General features: G+C 46.5%; 1 protein-coding gene and 1 non-coding gene across 2 annotated transcripts in view, besides 4 other annotated features; both read left to right on the forward strand.

The window, feature by feature from the left end:
* Positions 1 to 15,343, forward strand: part of COL4A2 (collagen type IV alpha 2 chain) — a 205,926-nt gene that overhangs the window by 23,276 nt on the left and 167,307 nt on the right. The window lies entirely within an intron of this gene.
* Positions 7,599 to 8,100: an enhancer, noted in NCBI's record as "H3K27ac hESC enhancer chr13:110990505-110991006 (GRCh37/hg19 assembly coordinates)". NCBI's record gives its function as "activates a minimal SCP1, AML or CMV promoter by ChIP-STARR-seq in naive H9 embryonic stem cells {active_cell/tissue: H9 hESC(naive)}" and the evidence as "EXISTENCE:reporter gene assay evidence [ECO:0000049][PMID:30033119]".
* On the forward strand, positions 10,399 to 10,470 carry MIR8073 (microRNA 8073). The gene has a single exon (NR_107040.1). It is a non-coding gene; the product is annotated as a microRNA 8073 (primary transcript).
* Positions 10,503 to 10,572: a silencer, noted in NCBI's record as "silent region_5501". NCBI's record gives its function as "represses an Ori minimal core promoter by ATAC-STARR-seq in GM12878 lymphoblastoid cells {active_cell/tissue: GM12878}" and the evidence as "EXISTENCE:reporter gene assay evidence [ECO:0000049][PMID:35858748]".
* Positions 11,644 to 12,593: an enhancer, noted in NCBI's record as "NANOG-H3K4me1 hESC enhancer chr13:110994550-110995499 (GRCh37/hg19 assembly coordinates)". NCBI's record gives its function as "activates a minimal SCP1, AML or CMV promoter by ChIP-STARR-seq in primed H9 embryonic stem cells {active_cell/tissue: H9 hESC(primed)}" and the evidence as "EXISTENCE:reporter gene assay evidence [ECO:0000049][PMID:30033119]".
* Positions 12,594 to 13,542: an enhancer, noted in NCBI's record as "H3K4me1 hESC enhancer chr13:110995500-110996448 (GRCh37/hg19 assembly coordinates)". NCBI's record gives its function as "activates a minimal SCP1, AML or CMV promoter by ChIP-STARR-seq in primed H9 embryonic stem cells {active_cell/tissue: H9 hESC(primed)}" and the evidence as "EXISTENCE:reporter gene assay evidence [ECO:0000049][PMID:30033119]".

The raw sequence follows: 15,343 nt of genomic DNA on the forward strand, positions 1-15,343 counted from the left end.
TCTGGGATTCTGTTATGGTTCAAAGCAGAGTGCATATCTTTGTTTTTCCAAGTGTCCGATGTCTGTCTACCTCTCCTCTTGGAAACGCTTCTCCGATCCGCAGGGCACGATGGGGTCCCCGCGGCCTGCGGTGCCTTCCCAGGCTGTATCTACATGCAGCAGGGCTGACTTGGGCCTTCTCCTTTAAATGAAAGACCTCCTACTAGATACTTTTTGCTGAGAGCAATTAGTTTCCAAAACAGCAATTAAGAAGAGTTTGCTAGCAGTAACTGCCAGCAGAGTTGCCTGTTTTGACCTATTTTGGCTGAGTGGTTCCTCTCTAAATGGTTTGGTAATCAGACTATTAGGCTGCTGGGGAGCCTTCCCCACCACATTCCTCTATGGTGTGTCTTCCATCTACCCGATCTCGCCGTGCCATCACTACTCATGAAATTGCTGTTTAAATAAACCCTGGGTGTTCAGATTCTCTTAGGATCAGTAATATTTTTTTCTTTCCATGCAGCTTTTTTTTTAAAGGAAATTTACTGATATAATTTTCTTCTAGAAAGATCACAATGGTCTTACCATCCTCCAAAAATCAGCTTGAACATTTTATACTGGTCTTAAAATATGCCAATAAAATCGTGTGATAGTGCCAGGCCATTGCAAAGGACAGAGAAAGTCATATATTACAGTTCCCAATTATTTGAGAATCATCCTAAAAGAGGAGGTAAGAACAGGGTTATTTGAGAGATAGAAAACCTACCCCAAATCTCCATAATAATTTTTCTGCAGTAGTTTTCCTTTTACTCATCTCAGATGTCCAGGCTGTTGGAAAGAGGGGACGAATCCTAATTTTTCTGGCTTATTAACGTCAACAGTGATGAAGTCCTGGAGCCAGGAGAGCAGCCGGCCGTGGCTGCCTTGGCCCATGCAGACTCACGCCTGACCCTCGTTACTGGGCCGCTGACTTCCACGGTGCTGAGAGGTGGGAAAGGAGGTGCACCCACAGCCCATGGGAGGTGGGGAGGGTGATGTGTTCACAGACCGCCGGCAGCTCTTGATTCAAATCATTCACAACCACAAAGCCAAGTTTCTAAGACCAAGGGCAGTAGGAGGAATGGAGGCAATATTCCAAACACCGACTCAAAACCACCAACAAAAGAATGTGCTATCTAGTATTTACTCTCACAATGTTTGCCTTTCTCTGATTCCTAATGAGTTCAAGCACTTTTGTATAGATCTACTGGCCATTTGGTTATTCTCTCTGTGATCTGCCACTTCCAGCCTTGTGCCCATTTTCCTGTTGGGTGTCATTTTCCATACCCACTTGGGAACTCTTTGTATCCTAAATACAGTCGCCCATTTGGTTACCTGTGTTGCAAAGACCTTTTTTCACTCTGTCTTTTCTGTCTTAATGATGTCCAATAAGCTGATGCCTACGTTTTATTGTCATCCAATTTATCAATTTTTTATGGTTAGTGTTTTCCCAAGCTCATTCATTAATTCTAAATTTTACAATAGATTCTGTTGTGTTTTCTGTATGTAAAATCATGTGATCTGCAAATAATGATGGTTTTACATCCTTTTAGTCATTATACTTTTTTCTTTTTTCAACCTTATTATACTGTCTAGAATATATTAGCAATGTTAAGTCAAGAAAGGCTTATTAGCCAAGTATACATTAAGTAGACTTCACCAAAAAGCTTTGAAATGCATATTGAAACCTACATAAGGGCTATTTGCAGAACCCAAGCTCACATTTAAAACCGCGGGATCTCCAAAATAGCTTTCTGGACTACCTTTGAATGGAAAGGGCCATGGCAAACAATTTTCCAAGTCCTCCTCATCTTTAGTTAGGTTTCGGTCAGAGATTCAAATGCAAGAGGGATGTAAACCAGGGATGAAGTGATAGTGGCAGCAACACAAGTTCGTTCTCCTGTCGCAATGATAGACAGGACGGCTCCCACACACAGCACCTTCTTCTAGAGCACTTTTCCTCCTCTTCTCTCCTTTTGTCCTCTTGAGTTTGAACATTGATGGTGGTACATGATGTTCCTAAAAAGACAAGCACAGGCAGATAGAGAGAAACGTTGGGCCCACGGAAATATGAATTCATCCAGATTTCTACTGTGTTAACTTTTAATAGAGGAATCCCCTTCTATGTTTGTACCATGTGTTGCCATCCTTAAAAACTCTGTGTTGAAAGGTGACCAATGAGTCCTTCCAGTAGTACCTGGTTTCCTTAGTAATTGACTTGTCACATATTTCTGCATCAACAGTATTCTCAAATGCACGCTTACTTTCAGCAATGGTGAAGCTCACTGCTGAGCTCAAAGTCCTTCACAATCTGAACACACGGTGCTATTTCCAGAAGCCCAAATTCCCATGGTAGCTATGTAAGTTGTATCTCTGAGTCAGCAAGAAGTGGGTGCATGAGGCTTCCCAACCCACCAGGTCCTTGCAGGCAGCCAGGCTTGCTTCTGGAGAGGGCAGAGGGTGAAGGGCTGCAGCTGTGCATGTGGTCAGCCCCATCATCCTAAGGAGATATTCCTGAGTGTCCAAGAAAAGCACTGCTCCACCCTACTTTCTGACCTTGACTTATGACCCCTCCAGGGGTGTAGTGACCACCTGAAGGCCACTGGCCCGGTTACTCAGAAATGTACCTCTTTGAATGCTGCCTGCCTCGAGGTGTACCTCTCATCATCACAGAAGGACCACCGCTTACTCTTTGTTAATGAAATCTGAGATGCTTCCACCTTCCTATTCTTGGAAAACATTAGGAGTCCCACACCTCTTGCAGCCCTGATGTCCTGGGACCCAGTGTCCATCCCACATCCAGCCTACTTCGTCCAAGCCAGGTCCTCTGAGCTGTTTGCTGTGACATTCAGAGGCAGCTTTGCTATCTGTGAGGTGTGTTCTGGTACCTACAGGCTCCGTGAGCACTGTCTTTCCTCACTGATCTCTTCTTTAATTCTCTTCATGGGGGCGATTTCTTGTAGCACTTTTTCTTCTCCAAACATTTTCTAACTTACCTAAGATGGGTTATGATTGAGGTGTCCCCTGGCTACGACCTACTGCACCTGAGATGGGAAGAGGACCGCTCACGAACCGTGGTCCTGCTCCCACACCCCAATAATGTACAACTTTTCATATCGGGACACAGCCACTGCCTCTGCGAGTCTGAACTCGTTGCCATATTTCTGTGTGCTTTTATTCTGGGCCTTGGGCAGTCCCATCTGTTTTGTTGTATAGTTATGATTATAAATAATAAGAGCTCTTACCTTGTGTGATAAGTTCTTATCACGATCTAGGTCCTGGGCAAGGTGCTTTACACGAATGACCTCAAGTGACCTTTAGATTAACCCTCTGAGATAGGAACTAATGTCATCCTCATCTCACAGACAAAGAAACCGAGTCTAGAAAGTCAGGTCATGGTGGGGCCGGCACCGCCCATGGAGCTGGACTTGGGTGCTGGCCCCATGCTCCTGCTGAGTTCGGCTGGATGGCAGTGACCATGCTTGCTTTGAGGGCGAGGGTCACACCCAGGTGTGGCCTGTGTCCCCAGGTGCCTAGACACGGCCTGAACACAGAGGCGTTTGATAAAAAATGTACAATATGACGCACAGTCAGTGCCTCTCTTTGGGGCTGAATAGCGCATGCCCTTAGGTTGGACAGTAAAATCGGCCTTCTTGACATTCAGAAAGGCTGACCCAGCTTTGGAACTCTGCTTGGTTTGTTTGTTCGTTCCTTTGTTTATCAAGCACAGCAGATGTGGCCCGCATCTAACCTGTTGTGAGCACCACCACCATCTGCATGTTGGAAGTGCCTGCACGATGCCCTAAGGATTCTGTTCCAGAGGCTTCCCTTAGATGAGACCACAGAGCAGCCGTCTGCCTGGGGAGCAGACCCATGGCCGCATTCCAGAAAGAGTGTTCATGCTCATTTCTACTAAAATCCAGGTTTCGCACTTGGAAGCGGCTTCCCTTCCCAAGTAGAAACACATTCCATTTCCTTCATACCTGTCGTGGTCATGGCACACTCATTCAAGATGTTTATGAGCTGAACATATTTGCTCCTTACAGTGTGGATTTATAGTCTAAGAAACTTGGAAAAGCCTCCATGCAGGATATTGTGAGACAGGTCAAGAAAATTCCATTCCCCAAGAACAAATGTTATGCAGCCAGTATATAACAATGCTTTGTTTATGCAGAGCATTTAGGAATATGGAGAAATGCTTAATGTGAAGACAAAGTAAAGATGCAAAATTGTATAGAAAGTATAATCCGAGTTATGTAGAAAGAAGTGCAAGAGAAAAGACCAGGGAAAATGCTGAACGTTCTCCCGGAGCAGGCCTGCTTCAGCCCTCGGTCTGATTCAGCACAGTCAGATCCACGCAGCCCGTCTTCAGTCCAGGGAGGAGGAAGATAAAGAGCTGGGGGCCCAGCTCCAGGTGACCTCAACTATCTCTCTGTCCCTCACCTGTGCTGCTGCCCTGATCCCTGGGCATCTTCCCTCTGCAGAGGCCGAGCCCCCAGCCTGTGTCACACTTCTCATCCCTGGGCTTCTCCTTGGCCCTCTGGGCTCAGGTGCAGACATTCATGGATCCTGTTCATTGATCCTGTGGTTGGGAGTCTGCTGACCTCCTCCACTGCCTGCAACCGTGTCTCCAACACAGGCGACTCCTGAGTTCTCTTTGTAATGCTTCAGCCATGGCTCCTGCTGTGGTTTGGCTCTGTCCCCACTCAAATCTCATCTTGAATTGTAGCTCCCATAATTCCCACATGTTTTGAAAGGGACCCAGTGGGAGGTAACTGAATCATGAGGGCGGTTTCCCCCATACTATTCTTGCGGTAGAGTAAGTCTCATGAGATCTGATGGTTTAATAAGGGGAAACCCCTTTTGCTTGGTTATCACTCTCTCTTGTCTGCCACCATGTAAGACGTGCCTTTTGCCTTCTGCCATGATTGTGAGGCCTCCCCAGCCACATGGAACTGTGAGTCCTTTAAACCCCTTTTTCTTTATAAATTATCCAGTCTCACTTATGTCTTTATCAGCAGCATGAAAATGGACTAATACAGCTCCCTTGGTGCCCAAAGTGGTGACTGAGCTCCAGTTTCTTGTCCCTGATGTCCACTCTGGCTGATCCAAACCCATCACATGACAAGGCTTGGCCACCCATCTCCAAGGTGGTGACATTTTACTCTCAAACTGAAGAAGATAAAATTCTGGGATCCAAAATTACTAGATGCCTTTCTTCTATGGAGTTTAAACTACTTCACATATACTATTTCACTATCCTCACACCACGTTTTTGAAACAAGGGTGGGAAACAGATAGTTGTGGCACACACTGTTCAAAGTTTCCACAAGATCCTGGAAGTCTGCTCCCCTGTAGTGTGCTTTGCAAAAAGAAGACTCTCGTGGGCTTCTGTTGGCAATGTAGACTCATCCAGTCTCCTGTGGATGGCCACTTCATTACTTCTAACCCACCTTTCCCCCCAGAGCTGACATATGTGAAAATGAAGACTGCAAAAATTTGCCTCTATGTATCTTCTTGGAGTTTTTTGATTTTTAACTTTTTTAGTCTCGGCTATTTTGAACTATTTTCTCCACTGCTCTAATACATTGAAGTAGAGAATTGAGAGTAGGCCATTTCCTCTTTTCCTGGAAAATATTCTGATGGCTCTCTTTGATAATTTGTCTGATTGTCTCAAGCATAACTGATCTTTCATGAACACGCAGGGAATCATAATGGCGCTGCACTCGGAAAGTTGAGTATAATGGTGCTATTCATGAAAATAGATGAATTCAAAAAAATGGGAAGCGAATATCAAAATGAAGTTGGACAAGTAGGTTTTTATAGGCTCCATAAAACAAAATGCATCTTAGAAGAGGCCTGGGAGGTGGGATAACAATAGCGGCCGCTGGAGGAGGGCTCCTGCGCGCTGCCCAGGGCTGGGCTTTCTTTCTGATCCTTACGACGACCTGGCCTAGTAGGCCTCATTTCATCTGTAAAGGACTATGTTGTGGAGGAAAGAGTTAAACATACTGTTGTTCCCTTTCCTGGGGAAAGGGGGTCCCTTTTTATCTGCATCAGGGGTTTTGCTTGGGGAATATAGGAGGCAGGACATGGACCTCAGGGGGTGGCATCTCATCTGCAAGCAGCTCATCTGGGAGCTTCCTTCCCGAGGATGTTTGAACATATTATATACAGAGCCTTGACCCCAGGGCCTTATTCCTGAAGCTTTCGTTGATCAGCTTCTGGGAAGCCTCCAGCAAAGGCAGTTCTTCCTCTGCTCCCTCTGAAGCAGTTCATGGGAAGAGTCACCACATTCAGCCTGGGGCTGGCATCCTCTGGACAACATCCATTCCCACGTGGCCTGGGTTGCCTCTGTGCTCCTTCACGGGACACTCACACCAGTTCCTATACAGGTTACATCAGAAGTTCCCAAATGTTGCTCTGGGTACTGCACTGGTTAGCAATGCAGTTTTCAAAGTTCCAAGGAGAAATGAGGGGAAATGAGGAAAACAGACTGCGTTTATCTATGGATGCTGATGCTGTTTTGTACACGTAGGACGTATAATATATGCTCACTGCATTCAATCCGTAAGCCTGTAGGCCAGTGACAGTTGCAGTCCTGGCGCTCTGATTCCGCGGTTCTGGAATGGGGCATGGGCGCCGGAAGTTTTAGAAGCACCCGGCATGATGCTGATCACAGCCAAGTTTGGAAACCACTGGGCTCGTGTGAAGGACACTGTACCCTGCTGTTTGGAATCATAAACGTAAGATTTAAAATGGGCTTTCCTAACTAATAAGTGCCAGTGAGGGCTCAACAGCTGATGGGCAGTGGAGTCCAGAGTGATGGTCCCAGCAAGCGTTCCAGCGGCATCTGCCAAGGCTGGAAGCTGTTGCCAGGCTCGAGCCAGAGCAGCATGGGCAGGAAGCTCCTGATGGGCAGTGGAAGTGAGATTGGACCAGCGTCAGAGGGCGGATGTACTGGTGGCAGGCTCAGAGAGGGTTGCCTTGGGATTCACAAAGCATGGCCCATGGTGTCCAGACTGGGGGCTTTTGAAGGCTTAGGCTGATGTTCCCCCTTAGCCACACCCTTGCTATCCAAAAGGTCCTGCTCCACATCTGACCGCAAGCAGCCCTCTGACACAGTGCTGGAGGCTCTAAGAATCTGAAGTCTGCCTGTCCCAGGGAAGTCCCTGCAGCAGGTTCTGCTGTGTGTGTCTGTGTCCCCAAGACATTTTTCAGGACAGCTTTGGGAAAAGCACTTTTTAACTGTTAAAAATAGAGAGAGCATTGATACTTGTGAAGATATATGTACTCACTAAAATATATGCAGTGAGCATATATTCACTAAATGAACATGCATTGAAAGTAAACAGCATGATGCCAAGGGCTTGAAGTTCCTTTTCTTGTTGCTTTGTAGGTTAATGAGGCCAGGGGTGTGGATTAACAGTATTCTGGAATCACACAAAACTCTCCAAAGGAACCATTTATGCCACCGTGATAGGAACTGCGTATTGCTCACTTGGATCCTAAGCTGATTTTTAAATTAGATCTTTCCGTGATCCCTTGTTGAGTCTGTTTCATGTGCATTTTATTATATTCTATAAATATTTCACTAGTTGTTTCTAATAATTAGAGAAAAAGTGTCTTTCATCAATTTAAGAGAGAAGGGAATAGTCTGTTAAGGCTGAGCAGTTACTGCATATGAAGGCTCCAATGGTGAGCTTCTACCATTAGCTGGCAAAAAAGAGCAAAAATGCAATGGAAAACAGTGAGGGAGAGAGAGAGAGAAAGAGAGAGAGAGGAGAGAGGCACAGTTACTGAGCCATGTGGCCAACTATTAAAACTAGGAGAAAAGACACAGAAAATGTTGTGTGTGGGGGGGGGTGGGGGTAAAATGCTCCCCCTGAAGAGCACTGAGGCTCTAGGGAGCCCGTTAAACCCAGATAATTCTACTAGAGCAGGAGGGAGCTGGCCTGGGCCTTCCCAGTTAGCACTCACTGAAAACAACGGGCCTCTGCCGAGAAGCTAAACCTGGGACCCCAGGGATGGTTTATCTGGAAGATTAGGGGAGAAACGTGCAAGGCAGCCAAGGCAATCCAGCCATCTCTGCAGCTGGGAAAAGGAGTGATTGTTTTCCTGAGCTGCTAGCCTGGATTTGCAGAAGGAAAGAATGCCTTGTTTCTGTCCCCTGAAGACGCAAGCTGAAAAAATGTCTGGCTGCTCTTCGCCGCCCTCCCAGGTTCTCTCCCACAGCCAAGAACGACTGGCTGCTGCCCTGAGCCGGGAGGTCACAACGCTTGTGGAGTAAGGAGCTCGGGTTTTTGTTTGGGGCTTTGTTTTGTTTTCTTAAGTATCTGCAGGACAATGTTTGGAAGAGTCGTATGCCCCATAAAAGGAAGAAAATGGTGCTCTTGGATTGTAATCAGTGACTTGTGGTTGGCAGTTATGCCTCTGCCTTCAGTACTGCAGGCCTGTGCCTTCCACGGACCTTCCCTAACATCATTTCTGGAGATGATGGGGCCAGCTCTTTAAGAAACTATTTTTTCACGTTATCATGTGGTAAGAACAGAGATGAACCTCAGAGATGAAGAGTGTGATTGAGCTCAGAGAAACTTCAGTGACTTGATTTTAAATGGGCCAAACAGTTGGATTTCTTTTACCTTTTGTGCAGAAAGCCTTCGTTTAGAGAAAAGAGGACTGAATTCTGATGGACAGTAGGTGTGGGAGGGGCAGCATGTTATCACAATAGCATCGTGATGAGATTCCTGGATGGAGGGAATCACTGGTGCTTGCATATTTGGGGCTTCATCTTAGGGAAGTTCCCTAAAATCTCTGTAGCACCCAGTTTTCGTGGGAAGAATGTCGTGGGAGCAGGGGCTTCCCTGACCTTGGAAGCCTGGCCGGTCAGTCTCAAACGAGTTTACTGCCTCCGACCCAATTGTGAGGACTGAGCCAGAGGGAGTGCATGTCAGCCTCAGCCTCCAGCAGCACAGCCCCTTTCTCTACAAGCCTCAGATATAGGGGAAAAAAAACAAAAACAGAGTCAAAAGTAGGTCTTCATTAATAAAAGACTGGGATCTCCCAGAATTAATCATCTTGCTCATCTTTTCCAGTTCTGGAAATCTGATCTTTGAACCTGGTATCCTCAGTCTTAGCACAATACCTGGGACCATAATAGATGCTCAGTAAACTTGGTGGGAGGAAAAAATCAAAGAAGGAGTCAAAATAGAGGTGCTCGGTGCCGAGGAGTTGCTAACCTGGACCATCCAAATAATGACAGTCTGTGGCACTTCAGAAGCATTCCAGAAATGGAACAATGGCACTCCATGAAGCTGTATAAACTCATAATGTATCCTGTAACTAACCCAGTATAGAACAGTAACACTGTTTACACTGATTGGAAGGAAGAAGGTTCATCCTGGCGGTTTATGACATTGCCAGAATGGCTTGAATCCTTGAGGGTGGGTGACAGGTAGAGTGGATAATAAATGGGCCTCCTGGTTCACAGAGCCTGAGAACCTCTCACCCAATGGGCACCTGGTGCCCCTGCAGAGTCCAGTCTAAGAGGACAATTTTTTTTTTCAGATGTAGTCTTGTTCTGTTGCCCAGGTTGGAGTGCCTGATCTCAGCTCACTGCAGCCTCCGCCTCCTGGGTTCAAGCAGTTCCCTGCCTCAGCCTCCCTGGTAGCTGAGATTATAGGTGCACGCCACCACACCCGGCTAATTTTTGTATTTTTAGTAGAGATGCGGTTTCACCATCTTGGCCAGGCTGGTGTTGACGTCCTGACCTCGTGAGCCACCGCGCCCAGCCAAGGACAATTTACTCTAGCCACAGATATGGCCATGGTCCTCATGTAAGCTGACTACAAATACAGCAAATCCACCTTTCCAAAGACTTCATTCTAAAGATGTAAAAGAACAAAAAGAGATAAAGGAAGAGGATGAGAAGACTTGAGAAGAGTGGAAGTGTAGAAAGAAAATGTTTAAGGTTCATCCCCTCCCCACCTTGGGGAGTTCCTTTGGCAGCATCTTCTGAAGGGTACTTCTCCTAGCCCAGGGGCAGAAAGATCCAGTCTTTTGGGGCAGCTGCGGAAGAAAGGAGAGCAGTCCTGTAGCTCATGAAGACATTACGAAGCACAAAGAACTGCACAGGGACAGAGAGTCTTTAGGGTCTCGAGCTCACTCTATGTCCTTGGCTGTTAAGTTCCCCGAGAGCAAACCCCAGCTTCTCGCTTGCTTCAGGCTCTGCATGTGTGAGTGTGACCCTTGGGTACTCTCGGGGCGTTTTCAGCCATGCGATTCTGGGGACTTCAGAGGACTCTGTTCCTTTCTGACTCGTGTTCCGGCGTCTGTGGATTGCTCCCAACAGGAGGAGGAGTATTGTCTATTAAGGGAAAAGATTTCAGTGACCTGGCAGCAGGGAGCGTCGTCAGTGTTTGACTGTTTATGGTATGTCAGGGAGCTGGTTCCTGGCAGTGGCTTCCCCAGGGGTGGGGAGGGGTGTGCTGGGGGTGACAGGAAGCACTGAATCACGACAGAGAAGGGAAAGAAGCCCGCCCGCCACTTCCGGTGTTCACTGAGCAGGTCGGTGGCCAGCGCTGCCTTCGCATCAGAACCCCATTTTAAAACACATCCAAGCGCGTGGCGTCATCGGGACGACGGGCTTCTCCCCAGTAGAGTGTCAGACCAACACCGCCCTGCACAAAGCTCTGTGTTCCCTGCTTTCTGTCATGTTCCCACCCATAGCCAGAAATCCCAGCTGCTGGCCGTCCAGCCCCTATGGAGCAGTGACTAAGGGTGGCTGTGGGACTCACTCACGAGCCTTAGGTTGGGTGTACATAGTTTGTGGCTGATTAGGTGTTGTTAAGGATTTACTGTTCAGGGCTGTTGATTTCTGCCACTGGCTTGTCTTCTCCCAAGGACAAGGGGCCTGCCTATTGGCTTTTAGATCTTAGCACTTAGCAGACTCTCAGAAGTGTTTGCTAGAGGACGTTTTCTGGGGAATGTCCACCTGCACTGATGAAAACAACTCAGTAACAACTCCACTTTGAGAGGAGCAGAGCAGGAGCCTTCCTTAGGTGTGCGTAAGGGGATACCGGCTTTAAAGACGCCAGGCTGAGTTGCTGTGTCAGGATTGATTCTTTACTTCTCCATCTGGAGGTGTTTCTGCTTTATCAGTTTCTCCTTGTTTCCAGCTCTGTCTCGCTGCCAGAGGGCCGACGTTTCCTGGCTTTTGTTGTACTGTGGCACACAGTCTGTTTTGAAAGGACAGGAGCATAATAAAAGCGGATATGAAAGAAGGGCCAGATGACATCACATAGAATACTGGAGGAAGTCCGCGTTTGTGGATGTTTATAATCTCAGCATGTTAGTTGTTTGTAATATGATAAGAGCACTTTTGATACATAGGAGGACTACAAGCCTTGTTGCTTAGACAGGACTCACGAATTTTTATCTTAGGCTCATAGTGACGAACAGAGAATGGGGATCTTGGCCTGGATCCCAAGTGACCCTGGCTCATTGGTTGACCTCGGGTACAAGATTCGGCATAGATGAGCCATTTAAATTGTGCCTAAGCCAGCTACTCATTGAATTTTTTAAAAGAAAGAGAGAGATAGAATAAAGAAAGCTAAGAATTTGACTTATTAGAGATGAATTAGCTTACTAAATTTTTTCCTTTTGAAATCTTACTTCAGAGAAATTGATGGTACCTAGAACTTAACATTAAATCAAGTAAGACCCTTTTAAGGTGAATTCTGGAAGCCATATAGAGTCAGCATTATATGCATGCTTACTCAGTGAAAATCCTAAAGCATGCAAGTGTCTCCATAAAGAGCAATCTCCTTGAACAATAACAGTGTTGACACCTGCTGTTCCCCAGGTCTGTATCGTGAGATGGAAATACACCAGCATCTTCCCCCACTAGGGGAAGATGATAAAATGCAGGTTAAGAACATGGACCATGGATGCTGGGTACTTCCTGCCGGGAGCCGGGCACTATCCTCACCTCTTCCCGTGGGTTAATCTCCTTTCATCCTAACGGCAACCCCAGGAGGCAGGAACAGTAGGTTCTACCCATTTTTTAAATGAGGACCCTGCAGGGCATGTGGGATGAGCATTCCTCACAAGACCGCCCCCACGAAACATGGCCTGGAGCCCGGGCACCCTTGGTCCAAAGCAAATCAAGTTTCTCCCAAACACAGTGCCATTCAGAGCAAACCAAATCTGCAGCACTGGAGACCCGCACACCCGACTGGAAGCTTAGGGCAGGGCAAAGGCACAAGACAGCATCATAGCACTCTGGAGCCCAGGAAGAACCCATCTTCTTGCAAACACTCCAGATTAAGCGTAAAAAGACTAGAAAAATCAACTGTCTTCATGCACTGGTATAGGAGAGCAGGGTAGAGCTGGCTCCTAAAATTTCACACTCAGGAGACTCTAAAAATCGTGCTCAAACCTAAAAATGTGTGCATGCTAATTCCAAATTAGCCTTATCGACAGAGGTTAGCGTCCAAAACTTGGTCTAACCTAGTCCAGGGAACATGCAATCTTTGCAACTTCATACTGCAGTGACTGTGTGTGTGGTCTCTGATTGTCCATCGAACACAAGAATTAAAATCCCAACAACCTAGTGAGGGGCAGAGAGGAGTGGGATTGAAAATCCACTGTTGAAATATCCAGGTAGATAATCCACTCCCAAATAACGGAGTGCTGCCTGCGCCTGTCCGTACCCAGTGGGTGCTCTCCTCTGCTGGCCCCAGGAGTAGGCGTCTGCTGTGACTTAGAGCAGATTTTATGCACAGACCTTCTTCCAGGCAGAGAAAAAACTACCGAGTGTGAGTTCACAGCAAAGGCATCCTCGATCCCTGCTGATGTGGGAAGGCATAGGTACACGCCGTCTGAAAGCTGCCAGGCGTGATTCACTTGGCAGCGTACCTCCAGGAGAAAGGGCGGGGCAGAAATTCAGAAATTCTAACCCAGAAGCCAGGCCAGCAGGTAGGTAAAGTGGCTGTCGCATGGGTGTGGTGTTGTCCATGGCCCCAAAGCCCCTGGGACTTTGATGGTCAAGTTTGCAAAGATAAAGCTGCAGGCACCTGAGGCTGAGCCTGCCCGGGCAGCGCAGCGCTGCTGTGTGCCAATGCAAACGGGGACCTTCCTTGCCTAGACCAGTCTTCACCAACCAGAACAGAAATCTTATTGTATTCTGAAAAAGGATTCCTGGATCTCTTTCATTCCATGCTTTTCAGATTTTTTTCTCCCAAATTTAGCACAGAGGGCAGGTTTTGAACAGAACTCTTAAACTGAAGGTACTTCTCTGGAATAAATAGCTTCAAGAGATGGACCCACTTTGTTTATTACCAACAGGGCTAAATATTTACCTTAGACCTATATGCCAATACTAACCACATACACATTTTCATTCATTGCCAAAGAATACCAAGAACTGGCATGCCGTATAAATAATTAAAATTTAGTGTAGATAATGTGTGAGGTAATGCTTATATTAGATGATGTCTCGGTGAACTCTCTCCCTAACGAAACAGAAGAAAAACAACATAGCTCATAAATATGTAAGGGTATTTATTCTAAATGTAACATGTGAAACTCTTCACTGCATGTGTACCTATGAGTCTGAAAACTCACTTCTAACTATGATTACATTGATGGCCTCTTGAACAAGAGTTAAAAGCTCCTTGTAACTTGTTCTTCTCAACACGGAGACAGAACAAAATCCCTCAGGCTATTAAAAGGATGACATGACAAATAGCCTTCATAAAAGATGGTCTTTTATGCAGCCAATTTTCTTATTAGTTATTTGACGACAACATTGAGGTTTAAATGAGTAGCCAATGAGAGAATATTGAAGTAGGCTGTTTGTTACAGCACATCTCCTCTAACTCATACTTGCTGATAGGTAATTGGAACAGAAGAGAATGATGTCAGTATGAGATGGAAGTCATGTTAGTTCATGCGTGACATTTTTCCCAGCATGGTGTTTGTACCACTGAGTAACAGGATAGCTGAGGGTAAGTAGAAGAATACACATCAGCACAGCAAACTGTCAAGGAATGGAACTCTATACGAGACCCCAGGGCCGCAGTATTCTCTCTCTTGCCTCGCTCAGGCCACATACTCTCCTTAGAAATGCTTTCTCCACAGCTCTTCCCAATCTTTGGTCATCCTGTCCTTGCTCTCTGCAGTGTAGCAGTCTCAGCACTTCCTTACACCCCCTTCTATGAAACTATGCCATCACTTTTCTTCAAGATAAACTGTTTTATTTACTGCAATATTTCTTTACTTGAGAAGTTAACATGTCCATTAAACTGTGCTATTATTTGTATTAGGATTGCTACCAATTTTATTAAGGCCCTAGTTACAAAGTTGCATCGGTATTGAGTGGTCTGCCCCAGCTCTGTTTTTCCCATGGACCTCGGTGGTTTGCTGTGTGGTTTTGCAGAGTGTGAGAATTTTTCAGAAACAGTCATATACTGTGTTACAGCAGAAAAGCCTGTTCTTAAAAAGAATGAGTGGGGACTAGATGTGAATCAATGTGATTTGACTTTCTTCTTCCCAAGGTGAGTGGCTGGTGTGTTTGAGTTGGTCTTGACTACACTGACAAGGAAGGTGAGGGTATGGAGGACATTCCAAGCTGAAGGAACAGTGTGTACAAACGCAAGTTCTTTGCGAGGATGGAACTTCAGAGGTGTTCATACTCAATGCATTGAAAATCCTCACATTCCCTCAGCATGTAAAATAAGTGATTAAGCATTCCGCTGTAGTTGAAAGAAAAAGAGACTTTGAAAGTGGAGGGAACAGTGGATGCAGGGGAGCAGAACCCCAGTCGGCGGGTCTCAGGAGAAGCGAAGCCTGCTGTTCCTGGGAAGCAGTGGGGTGCAGGAATCAGAGGACAGCAGATGCTGGCTTCACACCCTCACCTTCCCTATGGGTACAGTCGAGGCCTCCTCAAACACACCAGCCACTCACCTGGGAAAGAAGAAAGTCAGACTCACATTGATGCACATCTCGTCCTCACCCGTTCTTTTTAACCTGATATGGGCTCTCAACTAAAGGGTTAATACCAGAAGCACCCACCTAGCTAAGTACCGACCTAGACAGCCATTAGTGATTTACAAAAACATGAAGGGTGGCCATCTATATTAGGGGTGGAGAAGGACAGGGGGCAAGGGAAGGTGGTTTCTGGCAATTGGTCCACTGACACACCCCCAGCTGCTGTGTGGGACAGAAGTCACGTGAGTCAGATAGCAACACCCAGGCTCTCATCTTGTTCCATCTCATCTGTGCCTGGGCATGTGTACCTGTGCACAGGGGGACCACCTTCTGC

This window comes from Homo sapiens, chromosome 13 (genome assembly GCF_000001405.40).
Source record: "Homo sapiens chromosome 13, GRCh38.p14 Primary Assembly".
Classification (NCBI taxonomy): domain Eukaryota; kingdom Metazoa; phylum Chordata; class Mammalia; order Primates; family Hominidae; genus Homo; species Homo sapiens.